At 37.2% G+C, this 20182-nt stretch overlaps 2 annotated features.

The window, feature by feature from the left end:
• Positions 2895–3064: an enhancer, noted in NCBI's record as "experimental_69254 CRE fragment used in MPRA reporter constructs". NCBI's record gives its function as "activates a minimal promoter by MPRAs in K562 erythroleukemia cells, with activity observed for the non-introgressed 3:30104496 variant allele {active_cell/tissue: K562}" and the evidence as "EXISTENCE:reporter gene assay evidence [ECO:0000049][PMID:34662402]".
• Positions 6258–6790: an enhancer, noted in NCBI's record as "OCT4-NANOG hESC enhancer chr3:30100685-30101217 (GRCh37/hg19 assembly coordinates)". NCBI's record gives its function as "activates a minimal SCP1, AML or CMV promoter by ChIP-STARR-seq in primed H9 embryonic stem cells {active_cell/tissue: H9 hESC(primed)}" and the evidence as "EXISTENCE:reporter gene assay evidence [ECO:0000049][PMID:30033119]".

The raw sequence follows: 20182 nt of genomic DNA, 5'->3' as shown, positions 1-20182 counted from the left end.
TTGGAAAGTTTGCAGCCTAACAATGCAGTAGTAAAGACAATCCCATTTTCTGAGGAGAAATTCAAGCAGGCTGCAGAAATTTGCATAAGTAACAAGCTGAATGTTAATCCTCAAGACAATGGGGAAAATATCTCCAGAGCTTGTCAGAGGTCTTCACAGCAGCCCCTCCCATCATGGGCTCGGAGGCCTAGGAAGAAAAAATGGTTTCATGTGTCAGGCCATGGGTCCCTGTGCTGGGTGCAGCCTAGGGACTTGGTGCCCTGTGTCTCAACCTCTCCAGCCGTGGCTGAAAGGGGCCAGTGTAGACCTTGGGCCATAGCTTCAGAGGGTGCAAGCCTCAAGCCTTGGCAGCTTCCACATGGTGTTGAGCCATCGAGTGCACAGAAGTCAAGAATTGAGGTTTGGTAACCTCCACCTAGATTTCAGAAGATATCTGGAAACGCCTGGATGCCCAGGAAGAAGTTTGCTGTAGGGGCAGGGTCCTCATGGAGAACTTCTGGTGGGGCAGTGCAGAAGAGAAATGTGGGGTGGGAGCCCCCACACAGAGTCCCTGCTGGGGCACCACCAAGTGGAGCTGTGAGAAGAGGGCCACCATCCTCCAGACCCCAGAATGATAGATCCATGGAGAGCTTGCACTATACACCTGGAAAAGCTGCAGACACTCAATGCCAGCCAGTGAAAGCACCCGGTAGGAAGACTATACCTTGCGAAGCCACAGGGGTGGAGCTGCCCAAGACCATGGGAATGCACCTCCTGCATCAGTGTGACCTGGATATGAGACATGGAGTCAAAGGAGATCATTTCGGACCTTTAAGATTTGACTGTGCTGCTAGATTTTGGACTTGCATGGGGCCTGTAGCCCCTTTGTTTTGGCCAGTTCCTCCCATTTGGAATGGCTGTATCTACCCAATGCCTGTACCCCCATCGTATCTAGGAAGTAACTAACTTGCTTTTGATTTTATAGGCTTATAGGCAGAAGGGACTTGCCTTGTCTCAGATGAGACTTTGGACTGTGGACTTTTGAGTTAATGCTGAAATGAATTAAGACTCTGGGTGATGGTTGGGAAGGCACGATTGGTTTTGAAATGTGAGGACATGAGATTTGGGAGGGGGTCTGGGGCAGAATGATATGGTATGGCTCTGTGTCCCCACCCAAATCTCATCTTGAATTGTTCTCTCATAATTCCCATGCATTGTGGGAGGGACTCAGTGGGAGATAATTGAATCATGGGGTGGTTTCCCCCATACCATTCTCATGATAGTGAACAAGTCTCATGAGATCTGATGGTTTGATAAGGGGAAACCCGTTTTGCTTGGCTCTCATTCTCTCTTCTCTTTGCCTACCACCATCCATTAAGACAAGACTTGCTCCTCCTTGCCTTCCACCATGATTGTGAGGCCTCCCTAGCTACGTGGAACTGTAAGTCCATTAAACTTCTTTTTCTTCCCAGTTTCAGGTATGTCTTTATCAACAGCATGAAAACAGGCTAACATACCATCTCGACTCTCATTACCACTCTCTTGTGGTATTTACTCACATCATGCTTGACTGATTTAAGTTGCCTATATGTATTTTATTCTCACTCAGATCTTGCTCCTTTACCTGGGTAGGTCCTACTCACTCTACCCATATGAAGCAATGTCTCCAGCAGGAGTTCTTCCCAGACTTCCTCCAGGCTGGGTTAGAATCCTCTCTTATAGCCTCCAAAAGCACTATGTGATTCTCTCTCTCATAGTAGTTGTCTTACTATAGCAGATCAATATACTTTCATTGGTAGAACCAGGTTAGGGTTAACATTTTATTTCTCTTTAAACCCCTGGATATAACACCAAGCCTGGCATATTGCAAAAACTCATTAACTTAGGGCTCTGCTCTAGCTGTTCACTCTGCCTTTATTGGTTTCCCCCAATAGCTGCATGGCTCCCCACTCAGTTCCTTCAAATCGTTGTGTATCTGTTACCTTCTCAATGAGACCAACCCTGACAGAGAGAAAGGGACCGATGTTATAAATCCAGTTGTAATCTAACCCCAAAGCTTAAACATATAAGGCAAACAAGAAAAAAACTATGTGATGTCACTGAGAAATATCTTTAAATGTACTAATAAAGTCTAATAGCAGAGCAAACGAGTAATTCAGTCTGAACTATAGAAATGCAAAAATATATTATCTTTAAAACATAATAAATAACATGATCTAATACAGTTTTCAAAATTCAATTATCTCAAGAGATTCCAGAAAAGTGGTTTAAATTTAACTCTAATTACATATAAAAATAATTAATAAATCATAAAATAATTAAATTAACCTGATGAAGATATTGGCACATCAATAGGCAATATCATACCTGAATGTAAAACATTAGCGATAATTTCAATAAAACCACAGTGAAGGCAAAGATATGAAATGTTGTTTATATATATATTATATATTTATAGATATATATATTATTTATATATGTAATATATATTATTATAATACATAATATATATTGTATATTATATTATATATTATAAATTATATATTATATATAATAATCATATATTATAGATATAATATATATTATATATAATAATATAATATATATTATATATTTATAGATCTAATATATATTATATATTTATAGATATAATATATATTATATATTTATAGATATAATACATATTATATATTTATAGATGTAATATATATTATATATTTATAGATATATATTATATATTTTATAGATATAGATATATATTATATATTTATATTTAAATCTATATATTATATATCATATAATATATATTATATATTATATAACAATTATATATTATACAGTATTATATATCTATAAATATATATATTTTATATATATTATATATATATATTATATATATATATATATAGTTAGAGACAGGATCTTGCTATGTTGCCCAAGCTGGAATGCAGTGGCCAGTCACCCATGATCATAGTGATCATAGTGAGCTACAGGTTTGTATTCCTGGGCTCAAGCAATCCTCCTGCCTTAGACTACCAAGTAGCTGGGACTATAGGTGCATGCCACCACACTTGGTTTCATTAATAGTTTTAATGTTCTGGCAATTATAACCAAAACAATAGATAATGTAATCAAAATAAAAATTATAATTGGAAGATAAAATATTAGGGACAATAATGTTGAATATATAACATTTATTGAGTCAATGGAGGGGTAAAAAATAAAGATTCAGAAACACATGTAAAAATAAAAAAAAATTCTCCTTAAATACCAAAAATAAATTGGTAGAAAATGTAATAGAAAATAATCACCTCAAAATAGCAACAAAATATAAAATAGTTAAAAATAATTGTAGCCAAATGTGTGCTAGACTTTTATGGAAAAAAAAAAACACTGTAAAAATATTAACAGAAATGTTAAAAAGTGAAGGGAGTACTATTTTTTGAAAGATCAAAAATTATGTGTCAATATTATTCTTAGAATGTTAATTATTTTTAAATGTATTTATATGACATCACTTAGAAGGTATTTTGAAACTTGAAATTATAATTCTAATTTTACTCCAGAAAAATTAGAGACAAATGAGAATGGCTCTGTTTAAAAAATGAACTCTTAAGGATTTATATTTAATAGGATATGGCCACTAAAGTATCTTAGAAAGTTTTAATAATGAAATGTCATAAGCATTGAGAGGAAAATTTACGAAACAAAATAATACCACTTAGATACAGTTGCTAATGTACACAAGAAGTTAATACACACTTAATAAGGTATATACATCAGCATGAAAGAGGTTTATTTAATAAATATTTTTCAGGGCCGGGCGCGGTGGCTCACGCCTGTAATCCTAGCACTTTGGGAGGCTGAGGCGGGTGGAGCACGAGGTCAGGAGATCAAGACCATCCTGGCTAAGGTGGTGAAACCCCGTCTCTACTAAAAATACGAAAAAAAAAAATTAGCCGGGCGTGGTAGCCGGCGCCTGTAGTCCCAGCTACTTGGGAGGCTGAGGCAGGAAAATAGCGTGAACCTGGGAGGCTGAGCTTGCAGTGGGCGGAGATCGCGCCACTGCACTCCAGCCTGAGCGACAGAGCGAGACTCCTCCGTCTCAAAAAAGAAAAGGAAATATTTTTTCAGAATATTGATTTTGATGCTAGTGAAAAAAAAGCAAAACAATTAAAATTGACAATACAACACAAAATTTAGATACTGACCTTATACCAAAATAAATTCCAAAAGTAATAAAAAGCAAAATATTTAAAATCAGTCATGAAAAGTATAATGTATATATGGCTATTTAATTTACCTCTACAGGATAAAGGATACAGTTAAGTTAAAAACAATAGAAAAAAATTAAAAAATAAAAATATCCTGATTTGAATATTAAAAAGTAAATAACTTATCAAAGAAGGCATAAAGTTAAAAATTAATAACAAAAATATATAGTAAATAAGCCACAGAAATACTTAACATAATAGAGAAAAAGCTCATATCAAACACAAAAATATGGTAAATTGAAATAAAAGTAATTTTGCAAATAGTGCCACAGAACTGCTAATAAAATACAGACTGGTTAATCTCAACGGTGATCAAAGAAATCTAAATTAAAATACAATTTTTGCTTATTAAATTAGTAAAGATGAAAACATTTTAAAATGCAGCTTCAGTAGGCCATCATTGAAATATGCACCCTCATACATAACTGAGAGTAGAAAATTATGTACTCTTTTGAAAAGCAAGTAAAATATCCCTACCCTCTAACTTGGTAATTTCCCTTTTAGAAAAATCTACCCTAAGGAAAGAATCTGACATATAGATAGAGATTTATCTGTTGTTTATAACAGTGAAAATTTAGCAATAGCCTAATTGTTTAACCTTGGGGAAATAGCTAAGAAAATTATGATGCATCCATATAATGGAATATTCTATACAGAGGTCACAAAGTCAAAATGAACAGAGACCAGTCAGTTAATATAAATGAGTAAAACAGGGAGATGAAAGAAAACCTTACAGACAAACCAATATTTGATCTACATTAGAAGCTGCCATTCAGCTCTAAATATCAATAAGTTTTTTGAGAGGATACAGGCGCCTTTTTCTATAATTCCCTATTTTCTTGCAGCAGCTGGAAATCTGGCTTAGTTAATGTTAAATCAATCAACTTTTACATTACTGGCAACTAATTTAAACTTTATGTCTATAAACAAAGCAAATCTGCCCGCCCAATGTAGTGCATGGAAGATTGCTTTAAATCTTTTGTTGCACAGCTATTAAAATTAATTTTCATGGAAATCTTATTTTGAAACATGGGGGATTGCCCATAATATAATAAACAGGAGATTTAAAATTTGAAGGCTGAAAACTGCCTCCAGACAAGAATAGTGTTTATTTTGTCATCGTTGCCTGCCCAATATCCAGCACAAAGTCTGATACAGAGCAAGCAGCTGCTCAGCAAACATTCAAATGACTGTTATCAGATGGAAATACTAAGTCAGCTATAAACAAAAAGGCATAAACTGACAGAAAATATATCAATATGCCAACATTAATTGCCTCTTGTTTTCCTTACTTGAAAGGAAAATATTAGATTCATTTTATTCATTAGTATTTCATTCATTCATTTCATAAATATTTATTGAGGACCCAGAATTTACTGGGGAATGTTCTCAATAATGGAGATATAGAAGTTAAAAAGAAACGACAAAAATAAATTCCTGCTAAATGAAACTGGTATTCTAATTAGGGACAACATGCAATAAACGATATAAATAAATTAACTGTATAGTATGTTTCATACGAAGTGAGAAGACATAAGAAGTAAATGCCTTAACATTTGTACTTGAGATTTGTTTTAATCAGGTGTGTTAAGACACAGAGACATGAGGTGATTCCCATAGAGGAAGAAGTTTCTGCTCACAGATACTAAAAACAGGAGACACAGTACACCATGCTGGGCTACATGGAAGGGCACCAAGGGAAGTCAGTGGGCAGAAGGGATGAGAGAAAGTCATAAGCTACAACCTTTATTGGGGTTTCAGAGGGAAAGGTGAGGTAGGGCAGGGCAAACACCTTTGGACTGCCTAGTTTGTATAATGCAGGTGGGCTTTGCGGCATAAAGTCTGTCCCTAGCTGACTTGGACCTGACCCTAGGTTGATTGAGGGGAGAGGAAACACTGGCCTAGGTACGTAAGAGCTTGATAAAGGAGATGGTTAGGGCTGTGGGCTCTGGAATGGTTACTTTGTGCATGAAAGATGCACTCCCTGACAAGCCTTTTGCTATCCCTTAGAATTGGCTACCTTTGGGAGGGCAGTCGCTCCCTGATTAGTGACAATAGAAATGCCAGAACACCAAGAATAAAGAAAATAAGTAAAATTAAGACAGTAAAATATAGCAAAGAAAGGGGATAGAGAATGTTGGAGTGAGTGGGCTGGAATTTTAAGCAGGAATGCCAGGATAGGCCTCACTGAGAAGATGAAAAATTGTGTGAAGATCTGAAGTGGGAGAGGGAGTGACCCATTTGCATATCAAAGAAAGTTCTTTCCAGGCAGAAGGAACTGCAAGTGCAAAGGCATTGATGTGGGAATGTGTCTGGCCATTTGGAGGAATAGCAAGTAGGACAGAATGACTTGACCTGCATGAGTGCATGAGGGAAGTTGAAGGAAATAAGTCAGAGATATAATGGGGTGAGGCACAGAGGGGAGAAGAGTGAGCAAGTACTGTAGGCTGTTGTAACCCATTTTAAGGATTTTGACTTTTAGCTAACTGAATCCACAAATGTGCTTATATGTAATAAAAAATGGCCAAGTATGGTTTATCCCAGGAACATGAAGATGATAAAAGGTAGAAAATACATTAACAATTTACTGCATTAATAGACCAAAAGGAAAAAAAAAGTTATTTCATTTGATTCAGAAAAAAAGCACTTGATGGATTTTAGTACATATTTAAAACCTTAAAAAAAAGTCCTAGGAAACTATAATTAGAAGGAAACATTCTTCACTTTATAGAGGTCATGTACCAAAAATTTATAGTACACTACCCCTAGCAAAAGACGTTAAGTACATTCCCTTTAAAATTGAGAATGAGATTAGTATGCTTATTCTCACTATTAATGCTTAACATGGTCCTGGAAGTCCTGGCCAAGTGTGTAACAAAAGAAAAAGAGAAAGGAAAGTAGTAAAATTTTAAATAGAAGAAATAAAATTGTCATTATTTATGGAAGTATTATCTGCCTTAAAACATTAAAAAAGAATTATTAAATTATTAAATCTAATAAGAAAGTTCAGTAAAATTGTCATGAACAAGATTAAAAAAACAAATTACTTAAATGGAGAACTTGAAACAATACTTATATGGAGAATGTTTTAAATATCTAATAAGGCTACAAGAATACAATGGGAATCACTGGGGAGATGGTCATTATTACCCTTGGCTAAGACAACCTAATATTATAAAAATGTCAATTATATTTAAATTAACCTGTAAATTCAGTGCAATACCAAACATTTATTTCTATTTTGTTCATGACTTAATATATTTATTTTAAAATTTACATGGCTGAATAAATATCCACCATCCACCATCACTACATTAATTTTAATTTAAAAAGAGAGAAAAGAGAAATGATTTTCTTGACTGGATATTAAGATATATATTAAAAACAGTGTGGTATTGATGGGGGAAAAAAAGGCAAACTGGCCATTGAAAAGAATGAAAATGTAAAAGGCAGATATATATGGTTATGAAAATTTAATATACAATAAAGATGGCACCACCAAATCAATGAGGAAAGTATAGATTACATGAGTCCATTTTCACACTGCTATAAAGAAAATACCCGAGACTTGGTAATTTATAAACAAAGGAGGTTTAATTGATTCACATTCATTGTCTCAGGGGTGGCTCAGGAAGCTTGCAATCATGACAGAAGGGGAAACAGGAATATCTTACATAGTGGCAGGCAAGAGAGAGCTTGTGAGAGCAAGAAAAACTGCCTTATAAAACCATCAGATCTTGCGAGAATTCGCTCTCACTCTCACTCTCATGAGAATAGCATGAGGGAACTGCTCCCATGATCCAGTCACCTCCCACCAGTCCCTTCCTCGACACACAGGGATTATGGGGATTACAATTTGTGATGAGATTCGGATGGGATCACAGGGTCTAACCACATCATATTACTTGGGAAAACTCCCACAAAATCAAGAAAAAATTAAACTTTTCCCTACATATCACTATATATAAAAGGAGATCACAGGTAATTAAATACCTAAATGTGAAAAATAAATCTATAAGCTTCATGGAGGAAAATAAAAATGTAATTGTAAACTACAGGGAAGTAGTAATTCTTAAACATAACTTCAAATGTACAAACCATGGAGCACAAAAATATATGAATTATACAAAAATTAAGAATTTCTTTTCAGAAACTGATATCTTGGATAAAGTTTATAAGTGACAGAAGGTGAGAAATAATTTGCAGTTGTTTAAAACCACCAAGAAATTAATATCTAGAATATAAAATGAACTCTTAGAAAATCATAAAAAGACAGAAAAACCAAGAGAAAAATGGGCAATGGTTGTGAATAAACAGTTTAACAAAAAGGAAATCAAAAATTAAGCATATGAAGTCATATTTTAAATAATTGCTAATCAGAAAATGAAAGTTAAACCACAATGAGATATTGCTTTACATCATTAGCCTGACAAATTAGAAAGCTGAATAATGCTGCGCATTGGTGAGAATATGGACTTCTTGCACACTGCTGGGAATGTAGACTGTTGCAGCCATTACGGAGTGTGGTCTGTCATCAGTAAGGCAATTAAGAAAATGCATATTCACTCTATCATCTAGAAATTTCACTCCTTAACATATATTATAGAAATTAGTGCTAGTCATCAAATATTTCTGTCTCTCAACCTCCTAGGCGCATGATAAGATTGCACTGATTTGCTCTTCCACCTTTGAAGATAGATGTGGCCATGTGATTTACTTTGGCCGATGAAATGTGAATGGAGATATGTTTTCTTGCTACTGCTGCAGTGATAATGGAAACAATATGTTAAGATGGAGTCTCTATCAACCTGGGTCCTAGGGTGGCTATAATGAGCATATTCTCTATGTTAGTTAAGACCTATCTTGGATCTCCAGAATGAGTGAAAAATAAACTTTTGTTGTGTTAAGCCACTGAAATTACGAGATTGTTTGTTCCTGTAGCACAATTTGTAACTGATACAGTATTCCAAGGAATTTTTTAAAATAGGCACATCTTATGACCTGAATATGTATCTCCTCCAAATTCAAATCTCAAAGCCCTGCCCCTCATTGTGGTTATATTTGGGGATAGGGCTTTTGGTGGGATTTCTATCTCTCTCAATATATGCACAGAGGAAGGGACATAGGAGGACAGGGTTAGAAGGTGGCCATTTACAAGTCAGGAAGAGATCCCTCACCAGGAACCAAACTGGCTAGCATCTTCATCTTGGTGTTTTAGCCTCTGGAACTGTGAGGGAAAAAAAAAAAGTATCTGTTGTTTAAACGATCCACTCTGTGCTATTTTGTTATGGCAGACCTAGCTAACTAATACAGTGCATAAGGTGATATGTATAAGGGTTGCTTTTTTTTTTTTTTTTTAAGCTTTTTAGTAGTTGTGGGGAGCTGGAAGCAATCTGATCCTCTGTTATTGACTAAATTATGACCCTGCCCCCAAATTAGTATATGTGAAGTTCTTTTTTTTTTTATTATTATACTTTAAGTTTTAGAGTACATGTGCACAACGTGCAGGTTTGTTACATATGTATACATGTGCCATGTTGGTGTGCTGCACCCATTAACTCATCATTTAGCATTAGGTATATCTCCTAATGCTATCCCTCCCCCCTCCCCCCACCCCACAACAGTACCCGGTGTGTGATGTTCCCCTCCCTGTGTCCATGTGTTCTCATTGTTGAATTCCCACCTATGAGTGAGAACATGCGGTGTTTGGTTTTTCGTCTTTGCAATAGTTTGCTGAGAATGATGGTTTCCAGCTTCATCCATGTCCTTACAAAGGACATGAACTCATCATTTTTTATGGCTGCATAGTATTCCATGGTGTATATGTGCCACATTTTCTTAATCCAGTCTATCATTGTTGGACATTTGGGTTGTTTCCAAGTCTTTGCTATTGTGAATAGTGCTGCAATAAACATATGTGTGCATGTGTCTTTATAGCAGCATGATTTATAATCCTTTGGGTATATACCCAGTAATGGGATGGCTGGGTCAAATGGTATTTCTAGTTCTAGATCCCTGAGGAATCGCCACAACAACTTCCACAATGGTTGAACTAGATTACAGTCCCACCAACAGTGTAAAAGTGTTCCTATTTCTCCACATCCACTCCAGCACCTGTTGTTTCCTGACTTCTTTATGATCGCCATTCTAACTGGTGTGAGATGGTATCTCATTGTGGTTTTGATTTGCATTTCTCTGATGGCCAGTGATGATGAGCATTTTTTCATGTGTCTTGTGGCTGCATAAATGTCTTCTTTTGAGAAGTGTCTGTTCATATCCTTTGCCCACTTTTTGATGGGGTTGTTTGTTTTTTACCTGTAAATTTGTTTGAGTTCATTGTAGATTCTGGATATTAGCCCTTTGTCAGATGAGTAGGTTGCAAAAATTTTCTCCCATTCTATAGGTTGCCTGTTCACTCTGATGGTGGTTTCTTTTGCTGTGCAGAAGCTCTTTAGTTTAATTAGATCCCATTTGTCAATTTTGGCTTTTGTTGCCATTGCTTTTGGTGTTTTAGACATGAAGTCCTTGCCCATGCCTATGTCCTGAATGGTATTGCCTAGGTTTTCTTCTAGGGTTTTTATGGTTTTATGTCTAACATTTAAGTCTTTAATCCATCTTGAATTAATTTTTGTATAAGGTATAAGGAAGGGATCCAGTTTCAGCTTTCCACATATGGCTAGCCAGTTTTCCCAGCACCATTTATTAAATAGGGACTCCTTTCCCCATTGCTTGTTTTTGTCAGGTTTGTCAAAGATTAGATAGTTGTAGATATGCAGCATTATTTCTGAGGGCTCTGTTCTGTTCCATTGGTCTATATCTCTGTTTTGGTACCAGTACCATGCTGTTTTGGTTACTGTAGCCTTGTAGTATAGTTTGAAGTCAGGTAGCGTGATGCCTCCAGCTTTGTTCTTTTGGCTTAGGATTGACTTGGCGATGCGGGCTCTTTTTTGGTCCCATATGAACTTTAAAGTAGTTTTTTCCAGTTTTGTGAAGAAAGTCATTGGTAGCTTGATGGGGATGGCATTGAATCTATAAATTACCTTGGGCAGTATGGCCATTTTCACGATATTGATTCTTCCTACCCATGAGCATGGAATGTTCTTCCATTTGTTTGTATCCTCTTTTATTTCATTGAGCAGTGGTTTGTAGTTCTCCTTGAAGAGGTCCTTCACATCCCTTGTAAGTTGGATTCCTAGGTATTTTATTCTCTTTGAAGCAGTTGTGAATGGGAGTTCACTCATGATTTGGCTCTCTGTTTGTCTGTTGTTGGTGTATAAGAATGTTTGTGATTTTTGCACATTGATTTTGTATCTTGAGATTTTGCTGAAGTTGCTTATCAGCTTAAGGAGATTTTGGGCTGAGACGATGGGGTTTTCTAGATATACAATCATGTCATCTGCAAACAGGGACAATTTGACTTCCTCTTTTCCTAACTGAATGTCCTTTATTTCCTTCTCCTGCCTGATTGCCCTGGCCAGAACTTCCAACACTATGTTGAATAGGAGTGGTGAGAGAGGGCATCCCTGTCTTGTGCCAGTTTTCAAAGGGAATGCTTCCATTTTTTGTCCATTCAGTATGATATTGGCTGTGGGTTTGTCATAGATAGCTCTTATTATTTTGAGTTAGGTCCCGTTGATACCTAATTTATTGAGAGTTTTTAGCATGAAAGGTTTTTGAATTTTGTCAAAGGCTTTTTCTGCTTCTATTGAGATAATCCTGTGGTTTTTGTCTTTGGTTCTGTTTACATGTTGGATTACGTTTATTGATTTTCATATGTTGAACCAGCCTTGCATCCCAGGGATGAAGCCCACTTGATCATGGTGGATAAGCTTTTTGATGTGTTGCTGGATTCGGTTTGCCAATATTTTATTGAGGATTTTTGCATCGATGTTCATCAAGGATATTGGTCTAAAATTCTCTTTTTTGGTTGTGTCTCTGCCAGGCTTTGGTATCAGGATGATGCTGGCCTCATAAAATGAGTTAGGGAGGATTCCCTCTTTTTCTATTGATTGGAATAGTTTCAGAAGGAATGGTCCCAGCTCCTCCTTGTACCTGTGGTAGAATTCAGCTGTGAATCCATCTGGTCCTGGACTTTTTTTGGTTGGTAAGCTATTGATTATTGCCTCAATTTCAGAGCCTGTTATTGGTCTATTCAGAGATTCAACTTCTTCTTGGTTTAGTCTTGGGAGAGTGTATGTGTCGAGGAATGTATCCATTTCTTCGAGATTTTCTAGTTTATTTGCATAGAGGTGTTTATAGTATTCTCTGATGGTAGTGTGTATTCCTGTGGGATCAGTGGTGATATCCCCTTTGTCATTTTTTATTGCATCTATTTGATTCTTCTCTCTTTTCTTCTTTATTAGTCTTGCTAGCAGTCTTTCAATTTTGTTGATCTTTTCAAAAAACCAGCTCCTGGATTCATTGATTTTTTGAAGGGTTTTTTGTGTCTCTATCTCCTTCAGTTCTGCTCTGGTCTTAGTTATTTCTTGCCTTCTGCTAGCTTTTGAATGCGTTTGCTCTTGCTTCTCTAGTTCTTTTAATTGTGATGTTAGGGTGTCAATTTTAGATCTTTCCTGCTTTCTCTTGTGGGCATTTAGTGCTATAAATTTCCCTCTACACACTGCTTTGAATGTGTCCCAGAGATTCTGGTATGTTGTGTCTTTGTTCTCATTGGTTTGAAAGAACATCTTTATTTCTGCCTTCATTCCGTTATGTACCCAGTAGTCATTCAGGAGCAGGTTGTTCAATTTCCATGTAGTTGAGCCGTTTTGAGTGAGTTTCTTAATCCTGAGTTCTAGTTTGATTGCACTGGGGTCTGAGAGAGAGCCTGTTATAATTTCCGTTCTTTTACATTTGCTGAGGAGTGCTTTACTTCCAACATGTGGTCAATTTTGGAATGGGTGTGGTGTGGTGCTGAAAAGAATATATATTCTGTTGATTTGGGGTGGAGAGTTCTGTAGATGTCTATTAGGTCCACTTGGTGCAGAGCTGAGTTCAATTCCTGGATATTCTTGTTACCTTTCTGTCTCGTTGATCTGTCTAATGTTGACAGTGGGGTGTTAAAGTCTCCCATTATTGTGTGGGAGTCTAAGTCACTTTGTAGGTCACTAAGGACTTGCTTTATAAATCTGGGTGCTCCTGTATTGTGTGCATATATATTTAGGATAGTTAGTTCTTCTTGTTGAATTGATCTCTTTACTGTTATGTAATGGCCTTCTTTGTCTCTTTTGATCTTTGTTGGTTTAAAGTCTGTTTTATCCGAGACTAGGATTGCAACCCCTGCCTTTTTTGTTTTCCATTTGCTTGGTAGATCTTCCTCCATCCCTTTATTTTGAGCCTATGTGTGTCTCTGCACGTGAGATGGGTTTCCTCAATACAGCACACTGATGGGCCTTGACTCTTTATCCAATTTGCCAGTCTGTGTCTTTTAATTGGAGCATTTAGCCCATTTACATTTAAGGTTAGTATTGTTACGTGTGAATTTGATCCTGTCATTATGATGTTAGCTGGTTATTTTGCTCGTTAGTTGATGCAGTTTCTTCCTAGCCTTGATGGTCTTTACAATTTGGCATGTTTTTGCAGTGGCTGGTACCAGTTGTTCCTTTCCAGGTGTAGTGCTTCCTTCAGGAGCTCTTTTAGGGCAGGCCTGGTGGTGACAAAATCTCTCAGCATTTGCTTGTCTGTAAAGGATTTTATTTCTCCTTCACTTATGAAGCTTAGTTTGGCTGCATATGAAATTCTGGGTTGAAAATTCTTTTCTTTAAGAATGTTGAATATTGACCCCCACTCTCTTCTGGCTTGTAGAGTTTCTGCCAAGAGATCCGCTGTTAGTCTGATGGGCTTCCCTTTGTGGGTAACTTGACCTTTCTCTCTGGCTGCCCTTAACATTTGTTCCTTCATTTCAACTTTGGTGAATCTGACAATTATGTGTCTTGGAGTTGCTCTTCTTGAGGAGTATCTTTGTGGCATTCTCTGTATTTCCTGAATTTGAATGTTGGCCTGCCTTGCTAGATTGGGGAAGTTCTCCTGGATAATATCCTGCAGAGTGTTTTCCCACTTGGTTCCATTCTCCTTGTCACTTTCAGGTACACCAATCAGATGTAGATTTGGTCTTTTCACATAGTTCCATATTTCTTGGAGGCTTTGTTCGTTTCTTTTTATTCTTTTTTCTCTAAGCTTCTCTTCACACTTCATTTCATTCATTTCGTCTTCCATCGCTGATACCCTTTCTTCCAGTTGATCGCATCAGCTCCTGAGGCTTGTGCATTCGTCACGTAGTTCTTGTGCCGTGGTTTTCAGCTCCATCAGGTCCTTTAGGGACTTCTCTGCATTGGTTATTCTAGTTATCCATTTGTCTAATTTTTTTTCAGAGTTTTTAACTTCTTTGCCATTGGTTCAAATTTCCTCCTGTAGCTCGGAGTAGTTTGATCTTCTGAAGCCTTCCTCTCTCAACTCATCAAAGTCATTCTCCGTCCAGCTTTGTTCCGTTGCTGGTGAGGAGCTGTGTTCCTTTGGAGGAGGAGAGGTGCTCAGATTTTTAGAGTTTCCAGTTTTTCTGCTCTGTTTTTTCCTCATCTTTGTGGTTTTATCTACCTTTGGTCTTTGATGATGGTGACATACAGATGGGTTTTTGGTGTGGATGTCCTTTCTGTTTGTTAGTTTTTCTTCTAACAGTCAGGACCCTCAGCTGCAGGTCTGTTGGAGTTTACTGGAGGTCCACTCCAGCCCTGTTTGCCTGGGTATCAACAGCGGTGGCTGCAGAACAGCGGATATTGGTGAACCGCAAATGCTGCTGCCTGATCATTCCTCTGGAAGTTTTGTCTCAGAGGAGTACCTGGCCATGTGAGGTGTCAGTGTGCCCCTACTGGGGGGCGCTTCCCAGTTAGGCTACTCGGGGGTCAGGGACCCACTTGAGGAGGCAGTCTGCACATTCTCAGATCTCCAGCTGCATGCTGGGAGAACCACTACTCTCTTCAAAGCTATCAGACAATCCATCTTACTTGCTGTTGGCCATCTGCAACCCAAGGGAAAATCCTTTCCCAGACATCAACCTTTCTGCCATCTTGATTTTGAACTTCCAGCCTCCAGAATTGTGAGAAATAAATTTCTGTTCTTTAAGCTGCCCCATCTGTGATATTTTGGTTATAGAACCATAAGTAGATAAATATAACCTCCATCCTTGGGAGAACAGGCAGGTAAAATCTGGTGGCTGCAAAATCCCAATAAGTCTGCAGAGGTTATTGCTGTCTTTTGTTTGTCTGTGCTCTGCCCCCAGAGGTGGAGCCTACAGAGGCAGGCAGCCCTCCTTGAGCTGTGGTGGGCTCCACCCAGTTCGAGCTTCCTGGCCGCTTTGTTTACCTACTGAAGCCTGAGCAATGGCGGGAGCCCCTCCCCCAGCCTCACTGCTGCCTTGCAGTTTGATCTCAGACTGCTGTGCTAGCAATGCGTGAGGCTGCGTGGGCGTAGGACCCTCCAAGCCAGGTGTGGGATATAATCTCCTGGTGTGCCATTTGATACACCCGTTGGAAAAGCACAGTATTAGTGTGGGAGTGACCCGATTTTCCAGGTGCCGTCTGTCACCCCTTTCTTTGACTAGGAAAGGGAATTCCCTGACCCCTTGCCCTTCCCGGGTGAGGCGATGCCTTGCCCTGCTTCAGCTCATGCGCGGTGCCCTGCACGAACTGTCCGGCACTCCCCAGTGAGATGAACCTGGTACCTCAGTTGGAAATGCAGAAATCACCTGTCTTCTGCGTCACTCACACTGGGAGCTGTAGACTGGAGCTGTTCCTATTTGGCCATCTTGGCTCCACCCTAGTATATTTGAAGTTCTAACCCCCAGTACTGTAGAACATGACTGTATTTGGACATAGGGCCTTTAAAAAGGTGAGTAAGGTTAAATGAGGTCATAGGACGGGCTCCTAATCCAATAGTATTGGTGACCTTATCAAAAGAGACACCAGCTAGTTCTTTCTCACTCTGTGTGCAAGCACCAAGGAAAGGCCATGTGAGTACACAGCAAGAAGGTGGCCATCTACAACCCAAGGGAAAATCCTTTCCCAGACATCAACCTTTCTGCCATCTTGATTTTGAACTTCCAGCCTCCAGAACTGTGAGAAATAAATTTCTGTTGTTTAAGCTGCCCCATCTGTGATATTTTGGTTATAGAACCATGAGTAGATAAATATAACCTCCATCCTTGGGAGAACAGGCAGGTAAATTCTGGTGGCTGCAAAATCCCAAGTACTAATCCATCTTACTTAGGGAGTTTTTCTTGGCTATGCTATAACCATTAGATTCTCCTGGGAGTATCAGGTTTTCTTGTTATTTGTACCACCAACCCTGACTCCAACCATATCAAAATTCTTTCCCTGGAATTTTTTTTTTAATTAGGACTTAGAGATGACATAAATCAGCACAGCTCTGGTACTGGTCTAAAAGGAAGGAGAATAAAAAAATTGGAATTAAAAAAAAATCAAAGATGAGAGGCAGAAAGAAAGTTTTGCTGGTATTTAATTTCTTAGTTCCAGATGTGTCTGAGATCGGTTACATTTTGCTCCCCCTGCAGCTTGATTTTTAAGCCAAATATTAATACATCTCCTCCTTGAGAATCAGGCATATAAAATTGACTTTCTTTTATTTGGAATTAAAATAATATAAATCTCAAACAAGACTTCAAGTTTTCTAGATTCTTCACGTCTAAAAGTTTTAAGAACACAACTTAAGAATTAGAGAACCCCAGCTGGTTCTCAGCACACAGAAGTTATTCTGCAAGGAACAAATATACCTATAGTTGGAAAAGCTGCTATAAAAAATGAGACTTTTATCTCTGACTTTAGAATCAGCACAGTAATGGAAACACTTTAGAAACTCTAAAGCATTTTATAGTTGCATTGTGCAGGATAATTCTTCGGTTTACCTGTCAACTACAGTAAGCCACTGAAATGCAAGTTTCCTCTAGTGCTATTAAGTTGCCCCATACAATTCATAAGGTATGCTGTGGTATAATCTACCCGGACATAAGGGAAAAAAAGTATCTCTCTCTCAAACAAAGATAACACTTTCCAGGAGGGAGGGAGGGTGGTGACATGGTCAGGCTGAAAGCTGAGACATGATCACATGAAGTTGCCTGTACAGGAAACACCTAAGACGTGCTGCAGTGCCCTGACCCTGACTTCAGACTTTAGATGGTCATTCTAGAAATCTCTGAGTGACATTTTGAAAATATGGCTGTAGTATTTCATTCTCTTCTAAGTTCTTGACCATTCTTTTCTCTACCAAAGAGCAGACTTTATGCATCCTGCTGAGCCACTAGAATATTTCTAAGACAGTAGTTCTGGAGGTTAACTTTTCTAGATACAAATTGGATAATAAAGAAACTCATTATCCTTAGTCTCAACTCACATGAAATCCTGAGGGTCCATCCTGAGCCATCTGAAGGTTCAGATATGTCAGTGTTGATTTCACCTTTTGATTTAAACAGTACCTTATCCCATTCCTACAGTGAAATAGCTAAAATCTGCTATAGTAATGAAATGAATTGTTTTCATGCCACTCATCATATATACTATTCAGTGCCGACAATAATTATGCCTCACAAGTTTTTCCTTAGAATCTCAGAACTCAATAAAAACAGTCATTTAGTACTTAATGAGTAGATAGCACCTAATTAGTTTTAGTATCTCGAATGCTTCAGAGGAAAGGCAGCTTATTAGTAGGAATTTCTAAACATATATTAAGCCTTCTAATGCCCCTGTAAGTGCTATAAACATTTTAACATTTTAGTACAAATGCTGAGAGAGTCAGTTACTTGCCATACCACCAGACATAAGTTAGTAAAGATGAGAGTGAATTCTAATTTTCAATCCATTTCTTTCCCTGCAGAACTCAACAGAGTTCCTTTTAATGGCGGACAATATAGCACAATGCAACTTCTAGGGTTGTTATGTGATTTGCTTCTGATGCAATGCCTTTTATTTTGTGTCCCTGGTGCAGTTCTTCTATCATTACAATGGAAAATATGACAGCTCAATGCAGAAATGTGTTCAATCTAAAGTAAAACACATGCAGAAGCATCAGGACTCAATTCAAAATTCTGTTAATAAACATCACTGACAGAGTATCTTAGCTTAGTTAGCAAGTCAGACTTCTGTGACATTAAGGTATGTGCAAATCTGAAAAAGCCTTCAGCATTTCCACACAAGTCTGCAAGATTTAGGATTGCAGCAGGCTGAATTTTTCTGAAGGCATTTCCCAGGTATAATAACAGGCTGGCACATTCAAAGCACATTTTTCTAGGCAGGTATTTACTTAATTGCTATTTAATGCACCTTCAGACATAAAGTTCCCTTGAGTCAAAATGAAATTACTCAATAGCCACAGACCAATCCATGAGACTTATTCCCAAAATATAACCCAAACACAGCACCTCTTGTCACTAAGAGAAGTTTAGAGAGATGGGAAAAAAACAAGTGGCTAGCCCTTCTCTTTCTCTTCTGTTAAATAACATTACTTTCATGACCTGGTTTCTTGAGATTCATCTAATGGGGACCTCACAACCAATGCTATCAGCCAATTTCTGCATACTCAAAGAACACACCAACTATGCTCTCTTACAGTATTGTGACTCCAGTTGAGCTTTTTTATAGATTATGAAATATTTAAATCAAAGAGGTATGAGGAATAATATAGTCACCATGCTGCTTCACAAAGAAAATGCTAATACAGTTAAAGTCCTGTGTGTATTTCTGTACCATTTCTTCCCCAACACCTTTCTCCCAGGAATAACCACTATATTAAAATTGGCATTTTATTGTTTCTCTGTGTTTATTATTTGAGATTCATTCATACAGATATGGATTTTATTAATTTCACTGCAGTACTGCATTCCACTGCATTAAGATACCATATTTTATTTATTCAATGTTCTATTGATGGACATTGGAATTATTCCCATTAGGAGCTATTAAGAACAATGCTGCAAAATGCCTACATGTACATGTCTGCTCAGATATATGAGCAAGAGTTGCTTTACGGTATATAATATCTAGGTTATGCACAGTCTGCTACTCCCTCAAAAGGTTGTACCAAGAGCCTCTGTACTTAAAAGCCTGTTTTAAGTGATATTTACAGAGTAATAAAATGTTTAATTTTCTAATAAACTTAGTATCTTCAAGCGTTTTAATTTTGCCAGCACTCATAAAATGGAGTAGCTTTTCATGTTTATTGACCATTGTCTTCCCTTTGTAAATAGTCATTCACCTCTTTTCATTTTTCTTTTTATTATTGATTTATAAGCATTATTTACATATTATAGATTCTAAAAATATATAGTCCTGATTGGAACATGAATATGGAGGGCTTTAATAGGGAAATTGCCCCCACAGTGTATTTAATTAAATATCTAAAGTGGTTTTATGTAGTGAAAAGAATGTTTGTGTTTTTTTTTAAGATATAAATTCATGATAGATATATAGTAAACGAAGTAAATGCCAGGAAAAAGAAAAACTTGAGCAAGAACATAATCAGTGTACTTAAGAACCTCAGTTTTAAGTAATTATAGCATAATAAAATGTAAATATCATGCATTTAACCAAAAAGAGTGACATAATTTTATTGTCAAGTAGGTTTGTGTGGGGAAATAGGATGTAATAAAACTAAATTCTCATTTTATATAGCAGGAAGTCAGTAGATAATAGATACAATTTTTAAAAAAGTGAATTGCATGCTACTTAAAAATATGGAGAAAAACACATCAATAATAAGTTACTAAAATACTTGAAAGCATTTGCCTCTAAGGAGTAGAATAAAAATAGGCAGGAATGAGACAGGGAACGGTTGGTTTTCAGTACAAATGCTGTATTAATAATCAACTTTTAAAAGTTATACATGTATTACTTTGATATAAACATTAAATTTACAATTTTAGCTAT

This window comes from Homo sapiens, chromosome 3 (genome assembly GCF_000001405.40).
Source record: "Homo sapiens chromosome 3, GRCh38.p14 Primary Assembly".
Lineage (NCBI taxonomy): Eukaryota > Metazoa > Chordata > Mammalia > Primates > Hominidae > Homo > Homo sapiens.
This window is presented reverse-complemented; position numbering and strand designations above follow the sequence as displayed.